General features: G+C 40.4%; 1 protein-coding gene across 1 annotated transcript, besides 2 other annotated features; it reads right to left on the bottom strand.

The window, feature by feature from the left end:
- On the bottom strand, positions 615-23904 carry TLR7 (toll like receptor 7). Its single transcript, NM_016562.4, has 3 exons — positions 23853-23904; positions 23395-23495; positions 615-5464 (listed from the first exon to the last, which is right to left on the bottom strand). The coding sequence occupies exons 2-3, from the start codon at positions 23395-23397 to the stop codon at positions 2318-2320; spliced, it is 3150 nt and encodes a 1049-aa protein (NP_057646.1). The 5' UTR covers positions 23398-23495; positions 23853-23904; the 3' UTR covers positions 615-2317.
- Positions 22857-22976: an enhancer, noted in NCBI's record as "active region_29414". NCBI's record gives its function as "activates an Ori minimal core promoter by ATAC-STARR-seq in GM12878 lymphoblastoid cells {active_cell/tissue: GM12878}" and the evidence as "EXISTENCE:reporter gene assay evidence [ECO:0000049][PMID:35858748]".
- Positions 22997-23066: an enhancer, noted in NCBI's record as "active region_29413". NCBI's record gives its function as "activates an Ori minimal core promoter by ATAC-STARR-seq in GM12878 lymphoblastoid cells {active_cell/tissue: GM12878}" and the evidence as "EXISTENCE:reporter gene assay evidence [ECO:0000049][PMID:35858748]".

The raw sequence follows: 24245 nt of genomic DNA, 5'->3' as shown, positions 1-24245 counted from the left end.
TTGCCTTGCCAAGTGCCTCCCTTGGCTTGGATTCTAAAAATGCCAAGTCTTGCTAAGGTGTAGTATCTATCTGAAGAGAAAGGACACTTCCTGGCCAAGTCAAGGTTGAAAGGGGCTTGGACCAAGGCTTGATGGTGGAAGCGGAATTCATGGAGAATCTGGGAGTTCCTTCCGGGGTGGAGCCAACCAGAGGCCAGTCAGCAGAGAAGCCCCACGTTCAGAGCTTTGTGGGGACCGTCTGTGAACAGCTCCAGTCCTACAAAACTGCACTGAGGGCCCTCAGAAAGTTAGAAGAATGACATGTCAAGATTACCAAAGAATTCAGATAAAAACCATCTGTTGGTGTGCTGTTATTTTCCTACAACAAACCACGGTGCTTAACCTCATGTCAAAATACTCTGTGGTTTCTGAGTTGCATTATTTTCAGTTTCCCTTCCTCTTGATCCATTTCAGAAGATGTTTAAATTGTCTTCAAGTGATTTTATGTGTATATGTGTTTTAATAGAAGACAATTTATAATGACCAAAAGCTGATTTTTTAATGCCATTATCCTTGTTCTCACAGAAGAAGAACGGAAACTATGAAACACAATAAAGCTTACAGAAGTTGTGAAATAGTTGGCTCCAGCAATTTAATTACCTCTCTATTTATTCCAGAGATTGATTTGGGAATTTGTGACCCTTATTGATTAAATGTACGTTGGAAATAATTCATATAGTGTGTACTCACAGGTAAAGTAAAGCCTTTGGCATTGCCACACGTGAGGAAAATACGACATCGCCAATCTAAGGCTTGAACACATGCACGCTGTTTTCCAAATGGCACAAACACCTTTGTAGATCACTTCTTCCATGAAATAAAGCAAATTGGTCAGGTTTCAATCTTTGAACTCATGAATTTATACCCAGCTGAAAGTACAGGCATCTTAAGAATGTCTTGGTTCTTTCTGTTGTTTTTGAATCTGATAGCTGAAGTTCAAAACTGAAGCTTTCTCAATGTGAAGGTCTATAAACTTTGGTTTCTTCTCCCATCCTCCAGCAAAAAATGAAAGGAATCCATATAATTGGCATTCAAATAATTGTCATCTCTGATAAAACTATAAATAAATACACACTCTTGGAGTCCTCCTTTAGGGTTTACCATCAAAACCATCTAACGTTGCTGTATCAAGTGTGCAGATACTTACAAATATATGGCATTAGTTAACAAAACAGTTTGAAAGATATTGGATGAGGAAATTTTACTTTGGATACAGTACTTTGCAGTGCAGATAAAAACATTTAAGCAGGTAAATTATCAAAGGTAGAGAATATCACTTTGTATAAAGGCAGATCATTTAAATATTTTTCTATTTGTAGGTGGACCATATGCATTTATGGTAAGGATGTGTCTTTCTTTCTTACTGTTTCCCTATGGAACCCAGAAGCAGGCCCAAGGAAAAAGAGCAGGAAGCACTGAAGCAGCAACCACCTGTGTGGTGCCCACACTCAATCTGCACAGAATGGGGCCCTGGATGACACGGAAGCAATTGGTTAAGAAGCTGACTGAGTTTTTTTGTGTTTTTTTTTTTTTGTTCTTTTGAGACAGTCTAGCTCTGTTGCCCGGGCTGCATTGCAGTGGCGTGATCTCGGCTCACTGCCACCTCCACCTCCCGGGTTCAAGCGATTCTCCTGCCTCAGCCTCCCAAGTAGCTGGGATTACAGGCACCCACCACCACGCCCAGCTAATTTTTGTATTTTTAGTACAGACGGGGTTTCACCATGTTGGCCAGACTGGTCTCAAACTCCTGACCTCGTGATCCACCTGCCTCGGCCTCCCAAAGTGCTGGGATTACAAGCATGAGCCACCATGCCCGGCCAGCTGACTGGTTTTTTATTTCACTAAACTAACTCTAGTACATTTTGGTCTCATATAGAGAGAGCTTGAGTTTTTTTTAACCCTATTTCTGTATATACCAGTACTTTTTAAGGGTAGAAATGCAGTTCTTCTCAATGTCATGATTGTGTGTATATTTAATTATCACAATTACAGGAGAATCAGAGCCCCATGTTTTTTACTTGCCACTCTTTTACAGGAGCTGAGGTGAGAGACTCAAGTGCAAATAGAGACACAGAGAGATAAGAAAGAAGACTTGATGCATTATATAAACCCCATCTTTCCAACTCCTGTGACAGACGTTGGTGGCTCCCCTGAAATATGGGCAATCTCATTTCTTGAAGAATTTCAAAACACGCTTTTGGTGTGATATATATGAAAACAATTTAAACAGCCAGGCCTCTCCTTGGTAAACTAGGCAGTTGTGTTTTGCAAAGAAGGGCTAGACCGTTTCCTTGAACACCTGACTATAGGCCACATGATTGTCTGTGGCCAGGGCGTTCTTTAGACACTGCCAGAAGTATGGGTGAGCTTGCGGGTTTGTTGGCCACTCAAGGACAGAACTCCCACAGAGCCTTTTCCGGAGCTGGAGGAACTTGGACTTCTGAAAGGGCTTCTCAAGAAATATCAAGATAATCACATCAACTTTTTCATCCATGAGCCTCTGATGGGACAAGTAAAATGCTATCTTAAAATTTTCAGTCTTTGCATACTTGTCTGTCATCACAAACACTGTCTTTTTGCTAAGCTGTATGCTCTGGGAAAGGTTTTCCAGAACTGGCTGCCCTGGTAACCAGTCCCTTTCCTCGAGACATAAATTAAAATGTTTCTCTCTTGGGTCTTCCAGTTTGGCCACCAGCTCAGCCAAAACCCACTCGGTCACAGCTGGGTCTTTAGTGTCATACACAATAAAAGCATCATAGCAACAGTCTGGTGATATTAGACGCTGATACCCCTTTATCTTGGCCTTACAGAAATGGTAAATATACCACACATCCCAGAAATAGAGGTGACTTGCTGTCATCATCACCATGAGAAAGAGAGATACAGATATGGAAAGTGAGAACAGAATCAGGTTAGTCAGATCTAACTCACAGGTGTACAGATCCAGGGAGATCACACTTTGGCCCTTGTGTGCTCCTGGCCCCACACAAGTCACATCTGTGGCCAGGTAAGGAATAGTCACCTCCGTATGGTTAACCCACCAGACAAACCACACAGCATCACAGGTGCACAGAAACCGATTATGATGCAAAAGCAACATCTTCAGATTGTTGAGGACATTTTCTGGGAAGCTGGTCTTTTGGATCATCTGGATTTTATTTGAGCTGAGATCCAGATATCGCAACTGGAAGGCATCTTGTAGAAAATACTTCGTCAGACTCCTGATTTGATTATTCTTAAGAATCAGATTCTTGAGGCTTCTGGAACAGTTGGATAATCTCTCAGGGACAGTGGTCAGTTGGTTGTGGCTGAGGTCCAAAGTTTCCAGGTTCTTTAGACACTGGAGTTTCTTCCAACTGAAAGATTTGAGCCCATTTTTGGCCAAAGAGAGATTCTTTAGATTTGGAGGCATACCATCAAAAACTCCAGAAGGCAAGAAACTTAGGGAATTTTTAGAGATGTCTAATTCCTCTAATTTTAGCAGATTCTTGAATAATTGTAAGTATCTGTTATCACCTTCTCTCCATAAAACATCTAAGTGATTTCCTCTGAATTCCAGAGTTCTAAGAGACTCACTCTCCATGGTCCTGCTGGTGGAGGAAGAGATGTCATTGTCGTTCATCATCAGTTTCTGCAGAACCTTTAGGTTCTTGGTAAAGTTTAGCATATGAGTAATTCCTTCTGATTGAAAATAATGGCTATTACTGCTTATATCCAGAACTTCCAGTTTGTGAAGCTCTTCAAATGCTGTTGAATGGAGTAAATCAAGCCGGTTGTTGGAGAAGTCCAAATATCTCAGCTCTGCTAAAGGTTGGAATTCACTGCCATTAAGAGTTTGGCTAATGAGATTTCCTGACAGATTCAGGCATTTGAGGAAAGAAAGATGCTGAAAATCAGAGGACTTGACAAAAAATATACTATTTTTACTTAGATCCAAGGTCTGCCCATACTTGTAGCAGCTTTCATTAACAGACATGAAAGAAGCCTCTTTGTTTTTGAATCTGCAACTCCTTGCATACTTATCATATCTGAAATAATGTAATTGTTCCAGGACCTGGGGTTCATAACTTTCTACAGAAGTTCTGGCATTTGAGCAGAAGCCAACTTCACTTGAATCTCCTGAAGGTGATATTTTATTCACTGAAAGATCTATGACTTTCAGTCTTTTAAATTGTTTAAACATGCTGAGGTTAGCAATTTTTATAAAGTTAGTGCCAAGATCAAGAACTTCAAGATTTTGAAGATTATGTAATGGCGAGAGGTTAAAGCTTTTCAACTCTTTAAAGACATATCCTCTGATCCGCAGAATTTTCAGGCTTTTCAGTGAAGAAAATGCTTGTGATAGATTCATAGATGCACGATAGACCTGAAGTTCAAAATTGAAAGACAGATCCAATTGGATGAGGCTGGGGAGAAAATGCAGAAATTTAGCATCCCCAATTTCTTTGGCCAAGAAGTTTTGGGACAGATCCAGTTCCTGGAGTTTGTTGATGTTCTTAAACCATCTTGGGGGCACATGCTGAAGAGAGTTACTGTGTAGACGTAAAACTTTTAATTCTGTCAGCGCATCAAAAGCATTTACAGGGATCTGTAGGGGAGAATTATTTTTACACGGCGCACAAGGAAATGGGGCATTATAACAACGAGGGCAATTTCCACTTAGGTCAAGAATTTGTAATTGGTTGAGGTTATTAAAATCATCTTCTTGGATTTTTGCAATCATGTTGTTGTAGAGATATAGTTCTGTTAAAGTAGATGGCAAAACAGTAGGGACGGCTGTGACATTGTTATCTTTCAGGGAGAGCACTTTTAACTTTGTCAAGTTTAGGAAGGCATCTTTCTCTATTGAATATGAAACATAACAAGGATTTCGATAATAACAGTTTTGGCCCAGGTAGAGTATTTCTATGTTGGCCAGTTCTGTTAGATTCTCTTTTCTGATGGAAAAGATGTTGTTGGCCTCAAGGCTGAGAAGCTGTAAGCTAGGCGGGAGGCCCTGCGGTATCTCTAGTAGCTGGTTTCCATCCAGGTAAAGGGATTTTAAATAAGTGAGTCCACTAAAGCTTCTGGGTTTAATCTGCAGCCTCTTGATGCACATGTTGTTTTTTGACCCCAGTGGAATAGGTACACAGTTGCATCTGAAATCGATCTCTACCAGATGGTCCAGTCTGTGAAAGGACGCTGGGGAGATGTCTGGTATGTGGTTAATGGTGAGGGTGAGGTTCGTGGTGTTCGTGGGAATACCTCCAGGAATTTCTGTCAAATGCTTGTCTGTGCAGTCCACGATCACATGGTTCTTTGGAACATCCAGAGTGACATCACAGGGCAGAGTTTTAGGAAACCATCTAGCCCCAAGGAGTTTGGAAATTAGGATTATGTTAAAAAGGATAAGAATTTGTCTCTTCAGTGTCCACATTGGAAACACCTGAAAGTATAAGAAAGAACAAATCATTGTTCTAAAACATACCAAGAATCAGAATTAAAAATTCCCATTTGCTGCCTCTCTTTTGCAACATTTTAAAAATAAACAATTCAGGTCTTATTTTCAGCTGTCTAAACAGCATCCCCAACCCCATGACTGTATTTGTCAGTTACTGAGATTTGCAACTATTTAGTTACATATTTAGCTTTTAGCATCTTAGCTCTTTAGCAAAATAGCTTTCGAGAGGGTAGAAGCAGCATTTTCCTATTCGTTGTTACATGGAACACTAAAATTGCAGAGCCATAGATTCACTGCCAAAGTCTGAAATTTGGAGGGTGAAGAAATGTTAGAATATGGATACACCCATGAAAAATAACACATGAAGACTTTAGTGCAATTTATGTCGGCCTGCTAAACCTGCCCTGGTACACATTACATGAGTCTTTCATAGTATTTGAGTCTCAGAATATTCTAAGATTCCCGTTTTACAAATGAAGACATCGCTCAGCAATATTAACTGATTAGCCCAAGGTTACCCAGTAGTAAGTGGCATTTGATTAGAAAACATACATTCCTGCCATTCTGGCACTGACATTCCATAATCTGGCTCTTGTCTTGGATTGTTTTTGCAAAGAATCTTGCAAATTATCCCCTCCAAGGAGATTTTAGGATGAGCATTTTCCCTACACATTGGGTTTACATTACATAAATTTGGAGAGGAGATAGTAGTAGAGTCAGGGCACTGCCTAGGTGATACATAATCAGAGGAACCGTATAACTGATCCATTAGTATACTTACAAGAATGAAGTGGGGCTGGTAATAATTACACCAAGACTATAGGCATAAACCAAGAGTCTGTCAGGCAAACTGGGACATATGGGAAACTACCCATAAAGATGATTGTTGTGCATCTAGGTTTAGCATGACAGACACTGGGACCCTAGGGAGAAAGGCCCTAAAAGGGAATATGGGAAGTGCAGAAGAGCTTTAAAAATCACCTTATTACCTTCCACTGGCTCTGCCTTACAGAATGCTTTAACCGTGGACTGGCTCTCAAGTTTCAGGATTTCTAGCAATGTCTACTCCAGAACACTGGTTTTAGTTTAGTACTTACGCATGGAGTGGTCCAGCCTGTGTCTCTACCATAGGGATCTAGCTCAGTTAATGCTTTTATCTTCCCAAGTGACTGAATCAACCAATCATGTTGTTATCTAAGAAACCAAATGCCTACTTCCACCAGATGTGGTGGCTCATGCCTCTAATACCAACGCTTTGGGAGGACAAGGCAGGCGGATCGCTTGAGGCCAGAGTTCAAGACTAGCCTGGGCAACATAGCGTGAGACCCCTCTCTCTACAGAAAATAAAAAATTAGCTGGGCATGGTGGCACACAACTGTAGTTCAGCTACTCGGGAGGTTGAGTTGGGAGGACCTCTTAAGCCCAAGAGTTTGAGGTTGCAGTGAGCCGTGATCACACCACTGCACCCCAGCCAGGGTGACAGAGCAAGACCCTGTCTCAAAAGAAAAACAAAAAAATCCTACTTCCCTTAATTCCTCTAATTGGAGGTAAATAAGCAATTTTTTTTCTCCAATGCAAGATGGCTCAGAAGGGATTTTTCAGGTCTAAAGTTTGTTGGAGTTAGAGGTACAAAATTGTCTCTTCTTCTTGTCACCCCCCTATCTTTTCCTCCCTATCGTTAAAAACATTGAGAGTCCAGCTGACCTCCTTCATTGTTCTTAACATCCTCCTTGCTTTGAGGTTTTAGCTGACATAATATCAGCTGAGATCCCTCTATCCTTGGTCCACTCCAAAGCCTCCTCTCTCACTTTCCCAGTCTACCCTATCTATCAAGCTTCCCAAACCTTAATCAGTCAGTTTCTTGCTGTGAACTCCTTGAAATTGTTTCCCAGGCTCAAGCGATCGTCCCACCTCAGCCTCCCAAAGTGCTGAAATTACAGTCATGAGCCACTGCACCCAACCTTCTTATTTTATTTTATTTTTTACAGTATGAGCTGAAGCTTTTTATCATGGCATCCAAAGTCTTCCATAATTTGTACCCTGTCTACTTGTCCGGCTTACCTGATTGAATTCCTCTACTAGCCTCACTAGTCGATAAACCCAAGTTCCCTGACTTGCAAGTCCCTCCGTTAGAAGTCCTCTTCCCTACCATTTTCACCCACCAGATTTCTACTTATCCTTTAAGGCTATGTTTCTCAAAAGGAGCACTCAGATACCTCAGAATATATGGCAATATGCCAGTGGGTACAGGAAGCCCTTAAATAAATATGGTACATCTTTCTAGAGCACCAGTCTTTCTCAGAGATTTAGGAAAAATGTTCACTACTCAGGGAGGAGGAGTTGAGTCAAGATAGAGGGATGGCTATGGTCCCTGATAATAGGATTTTATAGTCCCTGATAATAGGATTTGTACGGTTATAGGATCCCAGGCCCTGGACCCAACCCCTGGCTATGCTTTTGTCCAAAGACATAATGGGTTCATAGATCCCACTATCAGGAGGCAATTGGTAATGCTGCCCAGAGTGATATTGTAAAGCAGAGAGTGGAGTTGTACTTCAGAGGGGGCCAAGGTGGGTAAATGACAATCATGAACCAGGTCCCTCTTCCCATCCCATTCCCATGTACCTAAATGAGAGCCTGGGAAGAAGTGGGAGGATCGCTGAATTGAGTTAAAAACATGAAGTGATTGACACAGCAGTCCTCATACTGCGTTTCCGAGGATGTGCCTAGTTTAAGTGTTTTCGTGATCAGGGAAAATGGAGGCTGTGAAATGAAGGAAGTTTAGTTGTGGAAAAATCAAGTCACCTTCACCAGTGGTGTGATGGTAAATGTTTAACAAGAAGCTTTGCCTGATTTGTTGTCTTGATTTGTAGCATTTGTCAATTTCTATAGTGTAAATATTCCCTCCATGGCCAATTTCAAGTGGGGTCCAGCACGCCACTGGCCTTAACACACCTGAGACAATGACTGTGAAATTTTTAGCCTCTACACAGTGACATATTATAAATTAGAATGCAAATTAATCAGAAAACCTCCCCCGCCCCCCACTTATTTCTAAACTTTTTTCTCGCACCTGTCCACTTTTCTCTTTGACTATTACCACCTCCCAACTCCAATTAGTCATTAGGTCTCATCTGGACCACTATGCTAGACTCCAAATTGCTCTCCCTGCTCCCCCTTCTCCTCTATAATTCATTCATCCAACAGCATCAGAGCGTTCTTTATAAACCTGAATCAGATCAACTATAATGTCTTCCTATTACACTTTAAATGAAATCCAAAGTCTCTACCATTGCTTATATCAAGGGTGTTCTGACTTCAGCCTACCTCTCTGACCTTGAGCCATCTTTCCCCTCCTTTACCACATATCAGCCATCTGGTCTGTTTTCTGTTCTGCATTCAAGCCAGCCTTGTAACCACCACAGTCTTGGCACTTGCTGTTTCCTATTCCTGAAATCATCTTTCTCCTCCTCTTCCCACAGCCCGGTCATTACCACCCCTTAGTTGCCTATTCAAGTGACACATCCTCAGAGAGGCTTTCCCTGACCAACTTATCTAAATATCTTCTCATGTAAGAATAGTGATAATAATAGTAATAGTAGTTAACTTACGTAGCACTTACCACATGCCAGGCATCATTTTAAGTGTTTTCCATATATTCATTCATTTAATCCTCACAATAATGGATACTACAGGTCTTCAATCCCTTATCCGAAACCTTTGGTGCTACATGTGTTTTGGAATTCGGAATTTTTCAAATTTTAGAAGGTAATACGCTACATGTACCCTAAATTATGTAATAACTATTGAGGCCTGGGGCAGCATTCCATAATCAAACACACAAAATTTCTGCAGTGACATATAGGATTGTCCACTCTAAGTGGAATTATTAAAAAAAAAAGAATAAATAACTCAGTTATTTATTATTTATTAAAAAGAATAAATAACTCATTTATTATTTATTAAAAAGAATAAATAACTCAGTTATTTATTATTTATTAAAAAGAATAAATAACTCAGTTTATTATTTATTAAAAAGAATAACTCATTTATTAAAAAGAATAAATGACTCATTTATTTATTAAAAAGAATAAATAACTCATTTATTTATTAAAAAGAATAAATAACTTCAGTTCAGGTCAAGATCTACCTCCAAATGCATTCAGATCATATTATGTTTGCAATCAACTGAGTTAGGACAAAGCTTTCAGTTTTGGGTTTTGGAATTATAGACTATTATTATTATTATTATTATTATTATTATTATTTGAGACTGAGTTTCGCTCTTATTGCCCAGGCTGGAGTGCAATGGCATAATCTCGGTTCACTGCAACCTCCACCTCCCGGGTTCAAGCGATTCTCCTGCTTCAGCCTCCCAAGTAGCTGGGATTACAGGTATGCACCACCAGGCCTGGCTAATTTTTGTATTTTTAGTAGAGACGGGGTTTCACCATGTTGGTTAGGCTGGTCTGGAATGCCTGACCCCAAGTGAACCACCCACCTCGGCCTCCCAAAGTGCTGGGATTACAGGCATGAGCCACCATGCCTAGCCTAGACCTCTATTATTATCTCCATTTTACAGATGAGTCAACTGAGGCACAGAGAGGTATATGCACTCTGTAACTGACTACCCTGTTTGATTTCGGTCATAGCCCTTACCACGGTCAGAAATTATCTTGATGATTTATGTTGCTTATTCGTATGATGTCTATTCTGTACAAGAATGTAAGCTGCAAGAGGGTAGGGCCTCTTGTGGTCTCATGTAAAACAATGCCTGGCACTTAATTAGGACCTCGTTATGTCTGTGAGATACATGAATGAAAGAATGAATGCCTGCATATATGAATCGTGAAGTAAAGAAAAATGAGAAAAATTTCTCCTTTGAGTAGGTTCCTTCAGTCTATACCCCCAGACTAAGCAGAGGTCAGATTTCTGTCTCTTCTATCTGCCCAGGGATTCCTTGGGGGAAAAGGTTTAAGAAGCTCTGTTTTCATAATGTCTCATTCAAAAACACTTTCTTCAAAAAACCTTCTGGGATCAAACCAGACAGAAGTAATCACTCCCTCCTCTCATCTCCTACTGCACTTATTACACATGAGGTTGTGAAAAGCACTCTGGGTGGAGGGTTGGAAGAACTGGGTTCTACTCCTTTCTTGGTAGTTCATTACCCATATGCCCCTCTGAGGCAGGTTCTGTGCCCAGTAGAAGATACCCTGCAAAAGAATGATGGACACAGAAACAACAATATGGGACACACCAAGGACCCAGCCAGTGGATATTAGAATTCTAATATGTATCTACTGACTCATATTCATTCTTTCAGTTGACAGATACGTGTTGGATGCCTACTAGGAGCAGGAGACACAAAGTCTCTGCCCTTAAGGAGCTCAAAATCCTGTGGAAGGGAGAAAAAAAAATACATATCTAAAATACAATGTAGAAAGACCATTAGTTCCTTCCAGACAAGATGCTGCCACTTGTATATGTGTAGCTGAACTGTACGTTGTTCTTATTCCAGGTGATAGTTATTGATATTTTTTATCTTTAATTTTGATTTTGATCCTGAATTTTGATACTCTCAATTCTTTTTTATCCCCGTGGAGTCCAGAGATTGCTACACATCTCTCAACATGTTTTCTGCCTTTCTCTCATCTCATAATGACAGAACCTCCATTTGTAGTTGGGCATATACCACTGTGAAAAATAATTATATCTCCCAGACACACTTGCAGCTAAGTGTGGCTATATGACTAAGTGATAGCCAGTGAAATTTGGGAGGAAGTGAGGTGTACAGTTTCTGGGACATGTCCTTAAACGGTGGGGCAGTTCCCCTTTCTCCTCTTTCTCCTGTCTGCTTCCACCTGGCTTCTTGTAATGTGGATGTTGTAGCCAGCCATCTTGGGCAATGCACATGAGAAAAATGAGCTAGGGATGGCACAGCAACCAGTTAGATGACGTAGATGACCCAGAGCATCCAGATCCTTCCTTATATGACCTCAGAGAGCAGAGCAGAAATAATGGCTTGGACCTGCTGACTGCCAAGAGTTTATGAGAAATCAAAAAATTGTTATGCTAAGCCAATGTCAATTGGATTTTCTATTGCACAAATGCAAACCTAATTTTAACCAGTATAGAATTTGGAAATAAGTTACTGTCCATGAGCGAACCTAAAATATGTGATGCGGATGTCATCAGGCTATTGGGAAGACTCAGATATCAGAGGCTGGAAAGCTGGGTGGCCTATATTATGCCATCACAAGATATCTGATAAAACTGTCACCTATGCTATCTTGTCTTGGAGGGCAGAACACATGCCAACTGTGACTTTACTCTTAGGCGAAATGATTTGGCAATATTCATAATGATGTTGGTGGCTTCTTACTGTTTTTAGCAGTCTTACAAGAGAAATGAAATAGGACTGAAGTTAGCCATTCTGCAAGCAGGGCTAGAAGGAAATACAGTTGTGCTCTGGCTGCAACTCTACACTTTAAGTTGAGTAAGACATCCTGAATTTTAAGGCTTTGCAGGGTTGAAAAAGCCAACTTCTACTGTAGTTTACCCCAAAATAAAGCAGATTTAATGGATACAGACAAAGCAGCAACTTAGATTAATTAAGTGTATGCCCATGTACATTTTCTAAGCACTTCCCATTAAGCATTTTCTAGTAGACAATGAAAGCCAGTCCAGGGCAAAAAATCTGATTGAAGAGTGTGGCCTTCCCCTTGACTCATGCAGCCTCAGGGTAGTTGATTCAATTGAGAGAGGGGAGCACCGACAAAGCATAGAGTCTTTAGACTTCAGGCTGTCTAGAGCTGCTCTAATGTCATAGTCACATGTGGCTCCATAAATTTAAATTAATTAAAATTCAATCTCTTAGTCACACTAACTATATTTCAAGAGCTCAAAAAGCCACATTAGGCTAGTGGCTGCTGTATTCAAGGGTACAGATAGAGACCATTTTCATCATTGCAGAAAGTTTTATTAGATAGCATTGGTCCAGACCAATAAGTCAGCAAACTTATTCTGTAAAGGGCCAGATGGTAAATATTTTAGGCAAAATTGAGGATATTATGGAGGTACTTAAATAACCATTGAGAATGTAACTAATTAGAATAGTAAAACCCATTCTTAGCTCACAGGTCATTAAAAAACAACAGCAACAACAACAATAGGTAGTGGGACAGATTGAGCCCACAGGTCATACTTGGCAGACCTCTGGTCTAGACCAAACCTTAGGCTGTGATAAACTTGTGCATGGAATTAGTTCTAAGCAAATTCATTCCAAGTCTATATTATTTAATGCTTATCCCAATTCTAAGAGATATGCTCATTTACAATGAGGAAAGTGAAATTAATGCTGAGGTGAGACCTAGGTGATTGAGACAGAGCTGGCACTCTTAGCCACTCTGCTATTCTACTTCTCGAGATGTCAACTCAGTCATCTGCCCCTATAGATGGAGAACACTTTGAGGTCCGGAAACTTTTTTTGTCTTTACATATACTCCATCATTAGGATGCCCGCCACATAGTGAGTGCAAGCTAAATATTTGCTGAGTAAACCAAGGCTTTGAACTTTCTTAAAATCCCATAGAAGATTCACATTATACTAGTATAAATAGTAAGGAATTTTTCCCTGAAGATCAGATTTTCACAAGGTGACAAGGAGAGACCAGGAGGGTTTGGGGCCTCTGAAGGAAGGATTGAAGTGGGGAGCATGCCACAGAAGAAACGAGGATGGTATCATTGGAAGGGCACGGGAAGTGGAGCTGCAGACGGACTCTTTCATAATCCTTTTTCTCAGACGCTCTGTCCCTTTGAACCTGAAACCCCAGTGAAAGCACAGAGCTCGTTTGTCTCTTGTGGGAAGAGTCACAGTCAGGATGGGGCTGCCCTTGTCCTATGCTCAATAGTTGAGCCCAAGCCCACTGACCCTTGGAATGCTTTATGCCAAACAAAACATCTCTTGGCTCTCCACACCGGCTGCACGGGAAGCCTGGAACTCGGAGATCCCAGCAAGTTTGCATTCCAAGATCCATGCCAGAAGGAAGATTAACTGCAATGAGAAAGTTGGGCTCTGATCAAGCAGGTGAGGGAGAAAAATGAACTCACTATTTATTAGAATAGTAAAACCCATTCTTAGCTCACAGGTTGGAAAAAAAAAAAAAAAAAAAGCAGGTGAAGGGACAGATTTAGCCCAGAGGTCATAGCTGGCAGACCCCTGGTCTAGACCAAACCTTAGGCTGTGTTAAACTTGTGAATGGAATTAATTCTAAACAAATGAACAAAGTGCTTCTAAATCTGTTATTTAAAGAGAAAGTATACCCAAAAGACCATCTAGAGAAGATGACTTAAAAGTGTGAAATATTCCTTTATTCCAATGGAAATTTCCTTCAGTGTAGAAATTTCTCCTTTCAAGCCATTGGAAACTACCTGCTTCAGACTTAAGCTGGAACCTTAGCTTCAACTATCGTTATTTTGAGATTTAAGGGTTCGGCATCAAGCCAGGTCTGTTTTGTCCATCTGATACAAATAATCTATGTTATTTTGTTTTGCTTCGGTTTTTTTTTTTTTATTTGTAATGATTGCCTAAAGACATGCATCTTTCAGTAATTTGACTTGTAAAATAGCATAGTATACCATGATAGGCCTGGCTTTGGTATTGAATCACAGCTAATTACACATGCAAATACACTGGGTAAATTTGGATGCTCAATTAGCAAACTAATTATTGTAAAAATGGGAATGGGTGATTTCATACACACAGGTGTTTCTATTTTCTCAATATATCGTCTCTTTAGTTAAAATGGAAAATAGAGAATTTATATTGGACAGCCATCAGACCATGATTTGTGTATTTTTTAAAATATTGGCTGCCTTTTATTACTTATGGTGTGCCAGGTTCTAAGGCAGACTTGTTGTTTATATTACATCATTGATCCCTCACACTGAAGTTGAAAGGCCATATAAATATTCTCATTTTACTGATGAGGAAGCAGAGATCAGACAGGCAATTTCAAACCAAGATTCAGACTCATTGTTGACCAATTCTATTCAAGTTGCCTTACACAGCTACAGCAAATGCACTTGGTATAATGTGTGTCTGCATTTTGATTAATTTCCTTTTCAGTTCAAGTATTCTTGGTACTCTAATGTTTCTATTTTGTGCTACTTAGCGGTTTTGGGGCATAGAGAAATTGGTTTGTTTTTATAGGAAAAATTTACAAGTATTAAAAAATGGTGGCTGGGCACACTGGCTCACACATGAAATCCCAGCACTTTGGGAGTCCAAGGCGGGAGGATCACCTGAGGTGAGGAGTTTGAGACCAGCATGGCCAACATGGTGAAACCCTATTTCTACTAAAAATACAAAATTAGCCGGGCATGGTGGCATGCACCTGTAATCCCAGCTACTCAGGAGGCTGACGCAGGAGAATTGCTTGAACTCGGGAGGCAGAGGTTGCAGTAAGCCACGATCATACCACTGCACTCCAGCCTGGGTGACAGAGCAAGACTCTGTCTCAAGACAAAAAAAAAAAAAAATGGTGTGTTTATGTTTTGAGTGGGACCAACTTGAGGGAGAAAAAAGAAAGATATTTTTAAGATGATTTTTTAAATGAATTGCATCCAATGTCCATTGTATTAGTCTGTTCTCATGCTGCTAATAAAAACATATCCGAGTTTGGGTAATTTATAAAGAAAAAGAGATTTAATGGACTCACAGTTCCACATGACTGAGGAGGCCTCACAATCATGGTGGAAGGTGAAGGAGGAGCAAAATTACGTCTTACATGGCGTCAGGCAAGAGAGCATGTGCAGGGGAACTGCCGTTTATGAAACCATCAGATCTTGTGAGACTTATCCACTATCATGAGAACAGCATGGGAAAAACCCGCCCCCATGATTCAATTACCTCCCACTGGGTCCCTCCCACAACACGTGGGGATTATGGGAGCTACAATTCAAGGTGAGATTTAGGTGGGGACACAGCTAAACCATATCATCCAGCAATGTTACATGAGGGCATTTTGTGGATTTAGAAATTTAAAGCCTCATTGAGCTTTGTCTCCATTATGAATTATATGCTCCCACAGTCATTCAACAAACATTATTGAGAATCTACTCTGTGCAAGGTACTGTGCTAGACAAAGTAGGGAAATGATGATGAGTCAAACACCATTCCTGCTCAATTAGGAACCAAATACTCTGCTGCTCTATTGTCAGAAGCTGTGTGTATCTCTTGAGCACAGAACTCTCTCTCTGCTGTCAGGGAAATCTATGGTGAGAAAAAACAATAGATTGTGGGGCAAGGGCTAAGTCAGGCCTAAAGGTAACACTGCTTTCCTACTCTTCAAACAAAAGTTTGAATAAACAACTCTTCAAGGTGGCAAAACCTATCCACCTGGATGCACTATTTTGATGGCAGGACTGAAGCCCATATTCAAGATTGAATTTTACTGATTTTAGATCTGTATTAGATTCCTACCACAATATTTACAGTTGTAGAGATCGAATTACTAATAGAAAAAAAAAAAAACATTTACCAAGCTGTTTTTAACTTTACGCTTTCCAAATAGCGTTTTTATCTTCAAAACTTTGTAAACTTGTAAGAGATGTCTGGTTGCAATCAGAGGAGTGAGAAGGACATGTATATAACTGGGAACTATTAGATGGAAAAAATGAGGAAGTGAAGGTAAGTGGTTTGTGTCTTGTGACAAGTTAGAAGAAGACTGGGATTAGTCTGATTTCTCCTCGTGTTTATTTATTCTAGGGGTTAGCACCACGTGAACTGAAAGTCAGATTTGTTTTCAGTCTCTCTGTCTGCTACAGGGCTACCAACTGAATTATCCTGAACCTTGACTTTCTCATCAACAAACTCTGGAGTTTGGCTAACTGACCTTAATGGTCCTTTTCTATTGTGCTTATTCTATGACTCTAATGGTTGGTGTAGAGCCCCCTGAAACTTATCTGCCAGGGTCTGTCCTCAGCTGGGAGTCTTCATAACCCCCTGGAACCTCAGGCTGCTGCTGTTTCAAAATGGTCCATGCAAAGCTTCAAACTACCATAAACCTTCTAAGAATTCCACAGAGGGAGGAAAAAAATAACTAGTACATGTTTTGTTTTGTTTTTCTTTAAAGTAAGCATTATATGTCTTTATTATTTATTTATTTATTTATTTTGAGACAGAGTCTCACTCTGTCGCCCAGGCTGGAGTACACTGGCCCGATCTTGGATCACCGCAACCTCTGCCTACCCGGTTCAAGTGATTCTCCTGCCTCAGCCTCCTGAGTATCTGGGATTACAGACAGCCGCCACCACTCCCAGCTAATTTTTGTATTTTTAGCAGAGACGGGGTTTCACCATGTTGGCCAGGCTGGTCTCAAACTCCTGACTTCAGGTGGTCTGCCTGCCTCAGCCTCCCAAAGTGCTGGGATTACAGGCAAGAGCCACTACGCCCGGCCTTATATGTCTTTAGATAAAACTATTTTGCTAGTTTGATTCAGCTTTCTGAAATAGTAAGAATAGGAAGAATTACATGACAATCCATTGATTTGAGAGAATGGTTAAAAATGGGAAACTACCAATAGTAAAATATCAAATGTCCCTTAAAAAGAATGTGGTAGAGCTGTGGGTATCGACATAAAAAGCTATGCATGATCTACTACTAAGTTACAAAAAATAAAGGGGATTTTTAAAGCAGCATTAAAATAACATATAACATATAATGCATTTATGATAAATATATATGCATATATTTGTATTTGCAGAGAAAAGTAGGAAAGAATACACAAGAAACCTTTAATAGCAATTTCTTCTGGGCAGTGGTATAAAGGGGCCTTCCCTGGGAAGAGGGGGACTTCTATTTTTATGTTATACCCTTCTCTACTCTTTGACTTTTTATCATAAATAATATGTATTGTTTTTTATTAAAACTTTTAAAATCAAATTACAGAGGAAATAAGATCTCATCATAACAACGTAGAAGGAAATTGTGAAAAAGGAAAAATTCAACAAGTATTTATTGATGCCTGCAACATGCCAGGTACTTCTCTAGGTGTTTGGGACATCAGTGGACAAAATAGAAAAGATTTCCACTCAACTATAGCTTATGTTCTCTAAATAATCACAAAAATATATAACTGTCAGAAATGATATTGCATGTCAAGTGATAAGTGTTACTGAAAAAGAAAACAGGGCAGAGTGAAAAGGATCAGGAATGTGGGGTAGGATTGTGACGATAAATAGGGCAGCTTGGATAGGCATCATTAAGAAGTTGATATCTAAACAAAGACCTCAAGGAAAGGACAAAGTCATCCATAACAGACATCCAGGGGAAATGCATTCCAGACAGATGGATTAGCCTGGAGCAAAGGCCCCAAGGTGAAAACATGCTAGAATATTCACAAAAATGGCAACGGGGCCAATATTGCTGAAGCAGGGGGTGTAGGAGAACAATAGGAGATGAAGTCAGAGAGGGAGTGTCCCTGAGCATGTTGGGCTTTCTCTACCATTCCATGGATGGCGGTCTCTGCTCTGGGTGGAATGCAGATGCATTGCAAATTTTTGAGCTGACAATCAGTTGGTCTGACTTACATTTGAGAAGGATGCTGCTGGCTGCTGTGTTGAGAATAGACAGTGAGGGGCAAGGGTGAAAGCAGGGAGACTAGTTGAGAGGCTATTACAGTCATTCAAGCAGAAGTCCCAGGTAGCAGTGCTGGAGGGCGTAAGAACTGGCCGAACACCAGATATGTTTTGAAGGAGTAGCTACATAAAATATGACTTCAAAGTTCTTGGAAGAACGTAAGGAGAGGGATTTGGAGACAGCAAACATTTCTAGGAGGTTTCCTGTCAAGAGGACGAAAGACATGGTGGGTAGTTCACAGGCAATACAGCTTTCACCTCGCGCGTACTGGCACACACACACTTTCTCTCTCTCTCTCCCTGTTTCTCCCTCTCTCCCTTTCTCTCACCCACTTGCTTTGGAGTCCTGAGTCATCACCCTTGTAAGAAGCCTGGCTATACGACAACCACCATATTAGAGAGACCACATGGAGACAGAGACACTTGAGGAGCTGCAGCTGCTTCGGCACCTAGCTGTTGAGTCTCCTAGCCCAGGCATCAGACCTGGAGAGTGAGTCTTCAGGTGATTCCAGTCGCAGTCACCGCCTGACTGCCACCCCAAGAGAGACCCTGTGGGAGAGCTGCCTAATGAGTCCAGTCAACTCCTGGACCCATGATAGAAAGCAGTATATGATTGTTGTTGTTTGAAGCCATTGCATTTTGAGGTGATCTCTTACGCAGTGATAGGTAACTGGAACAGGAAGTCAGACAGGACATATGGGAGCAGATGGTCTAGGTAGGTACACAAGGAGGAGAAAGAGGAGAAAATGGAGAGTCCTCCAGGAGGGTTGGAGAGTTTTCTGGATGGAGAAGTAGAGTGTGATTGCAATAAGGAATTCTCCCACCCACTACACCCCAGCAAATGAAACCCTCACCTTTCTGTATTGAATCGGTAGGCATGCCCCTGCCAGTCTATTATATATTCTTTGCATAGCTATTATCTGGCTACAATGGATTATTTTCAGCAGCAATCTTGGCAAAAGGAAATTTATCTTGAGATGAGACTATTTGAGGCCTGGGGAACGCTTTTATTTTTATAGTGAGTTAAGAAAGGATTTCCTGCTCTCCTGACTCTACTCTTTTACCCAACTAACCAACCAGTCAGAAAGGCCCCTGGGCACCCCCTGGGCTACAACATGTTAGCCCTGAGAGGACAACAGCCCCATGCACTCAGCTGTTCCTCCAAGCGACTTTCAAGATCACAGAGCAGAAAAAAGCCAAGTTGCCTGAGTTTAAAAGGAAATGTTGGGATCTGCATTTCTAAGACAAAGAGTTGCTTGAGCCAAGACGTGTGAGCGAGGGGCTTTCTGTGATGGCGGGGAGCCTGCAGCGGGGGTCTGGGAGAAACCAGAGGGGATGGCTGCCTGGCTGAAGAAAACTTAGAAAGGGCATGGAAGAAGTAAGCAATGGCCGGGGCGATTGCTGGAAACCTTGCCCTCAAATTCATTGACTTTTTGCCATGTTTATATCACACTGAATTGTTTGGTAACTAGAGATGTGTTGTGTATGTCTCCCTAGAGAATAACCAAGCACTGTGAATAAGGGAAGTTGCTGAAATGCTATTCATTTTATAGACTGAGCCTCTGCTAGGAATTTCCCAAATAGATTTATTAACAAATATCCCCTATTTGTGAATTTTGAAATATTTTTAATTTTAGTTTAATCTCTGTAAAGTACAAATACCATGAATATCAGTTTCATTATGTCACCAAAACGTTTAAGTACAAGGTTGTAAACCACTTGCTTTTTTTTAAAAAAAGGAGAGAGTTATCATTTACTTCCTATCATTTTAGCCCAACAGACTTAGTTTTCAAACTAAAAGAATAAAAGGATATAAAGTTGTCTTACATAAATTAGGAACTCAACAGCTATTATGCATCACAACAGTCACCAAAGACCATAGGGCTCTCAAACCTATTTGACCTTATACCTTATCCCTTTGTTTTCTATAAGCCCCGGCCTGACGTACTTTTTCTGTAAAGGGCCAGTTAGTAAATGGTTTAATCTTTGCAGGCCATCAGGTTCTCTGTCACACTACCCAACTCCTTGAATAGTTTGCCATCGTAGTGCAAAAGCACTTATCAACAATAAGTAAACAAATACTCAAACAATAAAACCATTTGTAAACACTGAAACTTGAATGTAACTTTTATATGTCACAAAATAGTAATTTTGCTCTGATATTTTTCAGTCTTTTAAAAACAACAATTAAAAAAAAACCCCTTAGCTCATGAGCTGTACAGCAGGTGGGATATAGCCCATGGGCCATAGTTTGCCAACCCCAGCCCTAAACTTCGGTGAGTTTCGGGGATATACATTATTTATTCTTGGGGTGCAGAGGTACTGGCTGGTTAATCTGTAATGATGATTTTTAATTTTAGTACAGCGTTCCAAATTTTTAAATAATCAGATTGTATTAATTTAATAAATTGATTACTTAATAACCTTTTTTTAGCCATAAAGAAATTTCCTATAGGTTAAGAGCAGAATAATATTTTTACTTTTAAATTTGCTGAACCACTATTGACATTTTGGGAGATGGTCCCTTCTAATAGTAATTTCCCATCCCTGCATCTATTTCACATGGTGAGAAGCATTCTAGTAACAGCCAAGGCTTTGTCAGTACAAAAATTTGGTTTTAAGTCCTTGTTCTGTCATGTAAGAGCTCTCTGACTTTCATAAATCACTTGACCTCATGAGCCTCTGATTTGCCAACTGTAAAATGGTTATAAAGTAGGGATGTTGAATGAAATTAGAATATGCAACACATGTGTTTATGTAAACCATCATCACAGATTATCCAACATTTAGTGAGCATCTAGTATTTGCCTAGCAGGTGCAGTAAAAACATGAGGAATACACGGTACTTATCCATTTCTAGCTTGCTTTTTTCATTTAACATTATACCATGAGTGCTTTCTTAGGTCATTCAGTATTATTTTAAAAAACATGATTTGATGATTACATAATATTCCATTTAATGAGTCTACTACAATTAATTCACCCCTTCCCAACATGGGACATGATTTTTTTTTTTTTTTTTTTTTTGCCTGGCTGCACTGACCATCTTGGTAAATAGTTTTCCATGTCCACGATCACTTCTTTTGTTTTTTTAAAATTATTTTATTGCTTGTTTTTTTAAGTTCTGGGGTACATGTGCAGGATGTGCAGGTTTGTTACATAGTTAAACGTGCCATGGTGGTTTGCTGCACAGATCAACCCATCACCTAGGTATTAAGCCCAGCATGCATTAGCTTTTTACCCTAATGCTCTCTCCTGCCCCACCCTCCTCCTACAGGCCTCAGTGAGTGTTGTTCCCCTCCCTGTGTCCATGTGTTCTCACTGTTCAGCTCCCACTTATAAGTGAGAACATGCGGTGTTTGGTTTTTTGTTCCTGTGTTAGTTTGCTGAGGATAATGGCTTCCAGCTTCATCAATGTCCCTGCAAAGGACATGATCTCATTCCTTTTTATGGCTGCATAGTATTCCATGGTGTATATGTGCCACATTTTTTTATCCAGTCTCATGGTCACTTCTTTAAGAAGAGTTTCTAAAAGTGTAATCTCTAGATCAAAGGATCTGCCATATGACTCAATACAGTTGAATATTTTCCCTGTGCTTTTTTGCCTTTTGAATTTCTTATATTGAAAATTATTTTCACGTCTTTTCTTAGAAAAGATATACTATTTCCCCTTTGTACTTGAGTAGGAAGCCATCATATCCAACCTCATCTTTATTGCGTGTGTGCTGGGCTTGGTCTAGGAAGAACAGAAGAGTCTTCAGCACAGCTTTCAGAGCCACCCAAGCTCCTTAACCTCTCAAAGCCCCAGTTTCGTTATCTCTACCTTATAGGGCTACTTTGAGGCCAAAATAGAATCATGTCTATCTAGCCCTCAGCATGATAGTTGAGTGGTCAAGAAATGTGAGCTCTCTGTATTACTATCATTCCCATTATGCCACCCATCAAGGGGCAAAGACAGATGTGGGCATAGGTTTGCATTAAAATAGACATCTGGGTTTCTAGGAAATGAAACCGTAAGCAGTTGTTTCCTTTGTAACAATAGCCCCATGGTTAATGCTTCATTAGAACTTTGACACAAAATGAGCCTAGGAGCTAACATTCGGATCTAGAATGTGTCTGATTTAAGTGACAAAATAATTTCAGAAAAAGGCCCTTGACGTCTTTTTCCGACTAAGTTTTGGCATACCTAATAACTCACACTTGCATCATACCACTTGCAAAGGACTTGAAAAATAGTCTATTATTTGAGCCTCACAGTGGCCCTGGAAGGCAACAGGGGAGGGATTCTAATGCCTATTTCATAGTCAGAGAAATTGAGTTTCAGAGGACTTTGATGACAGGCACAAGGCCCCCCCAACTAGTGACTGGGAGAGCCAGCGCTGACAAAGACTCTCCTTAATTCAACTTAATCAGGCTCTACTACACCCCTAGGCTTCGGCCTTTGGCTTCATGTCCATCTTTGCATTGCCCAGTTCAAGCAGGAATCCTGCTAAGTCATTTTATTGATAATCCACTCCTCTTGGTATGTGATCACCCTCAATATCTGATCAAATTCCTCATCTCCCACCATCCACAGGTGAGGTCTGATCACCCTGGCCTGTCTTCAGCAAGAATCCTGTCAGGTCGGTTTAGCCAGAATCCTTTTACCCTTGATGTTTCCTCTTAGTAATTTTCCATCCACTGACCCCCACTCTACTCCTTGGCCAGAAATCTTTACTGGTCTTTGGCTGTATTTGGAATTGAGCCCCTTTCTATACTGAGGTCTCTTTCTGCCGATTGCAATAGTCCTGATAGTATCTTTATCTACTGTCCAAATTTAGTTTTCTTTGACAGCACTCAAGCCCGGGGATTTCCCGTATTTTATTGCTATGAGCCTGCCCACACACTTTCATCCACACAGTCATTAAGACAACACCATATGCTGGAAAAAGCACAAAGTAACTTCAGTAATTCAGTGATTTGTTATGGCTTTAAAGCCAAAATTGTAGGCTGAAGAAATGAGATACATAGAAGCTATGTCCCCAATTCAAACATCTGCTCCTCCTCCCCACAGCACATATTTAATTCTTGTAGGAAGTTGAACAGAGCAAGCGTTGATTAATCTGAAATTGTGACATGCCCCCTTCATTAATGCCAATTGTGAAATATCAGGAAGCACTTTCCCCCAGCAAATAACCTAAGTACAGATTCTTCAATATTGCTCTTGCCAGCTGGTTTCAGTTGTTTCCACAAAGATTACAGATAACACTTTTTAAGGTTCTCTGAGCTGTTCTTACCATTTTTAGTCTTCTTCCAAAATGGAATGTAGAGGTCTGGTTGAAGAGAGCAGAGCATGAGAGGTGCCAAGATCAGCTTGAGATGGGCCCAATAGCATCAACTAAGAGAAAGAGAAGACATCAAAGTTTACATTTCAAAGACAGCACAATACTGTAGCTTAAAGACATGCTAGGATCATTGCTTTAAAATGCGTTTGAAACATCTATTTACAGTATTTACTTCCTCAAAGTTAGGTAGACTGGAGACATATTCCAGAAAACCATTTCTAACGTTACTGAAAGCCTAACTTTATCTTTGAAGAATTGACATTTTAGACTACCACATTTTTTATTTATATTCTAAAAAAAATTTTTGTGCATATGATTTCGGTTCCCTCTTCTCTCCTCCCCACTTCCTTATAACAGCACATACATCTACCTACTTAAATTATCTATATGTGTTCCAATGTTTAAAATACCTTTCTTGATGGCATGGAGTGATCCTATATCTGGAGTCTTCTGAGATGAAGTGATGGGAGGCAGGAAGTGTAGTCACAAAGACTACAGGCAGCCAGCCCTGGAGTTTCCAACTACAAAGATCAGGTCGGGGGATGGGGAGGAGCATGATTATTTAAGCCACCCCAGATATGGGCTTTGCAAAAGCACGGGGTTCCTCTTATTTCTATCACCACTATTGGGGCAACGTCTTGTCTAAATCCAAACAACTCTGTAGACCAAATTTCTTTCGTTTTTATAGCAGGGTTTCTCACCCTCAGCACTATTTACATTTTTGACCAGATAATTCTCTGTTGCACCATAGGATATTTGGTAGCACCCTTGCTCTATACCCACTAGATGCCAATAGCACTGCC

Source organism: Homo sapiens, chromosome X (assembly GCF_000001405.40).
Source record: "Homo sapiens chromosome X, GRCh38.p14 Primary Assembly".
In the NCBI taxonomy this organism is placed as follows: Eukaryota; Metazoa; Chordata; class Mammalia; order Primates; family Hominidae; genus Homo; species Homo sapiens.
The sequence above is the reverse complement of the archived record's forward strand: the minus strand, read 5'-3'. Positions and strand labels throughout refer to the sequence as shown.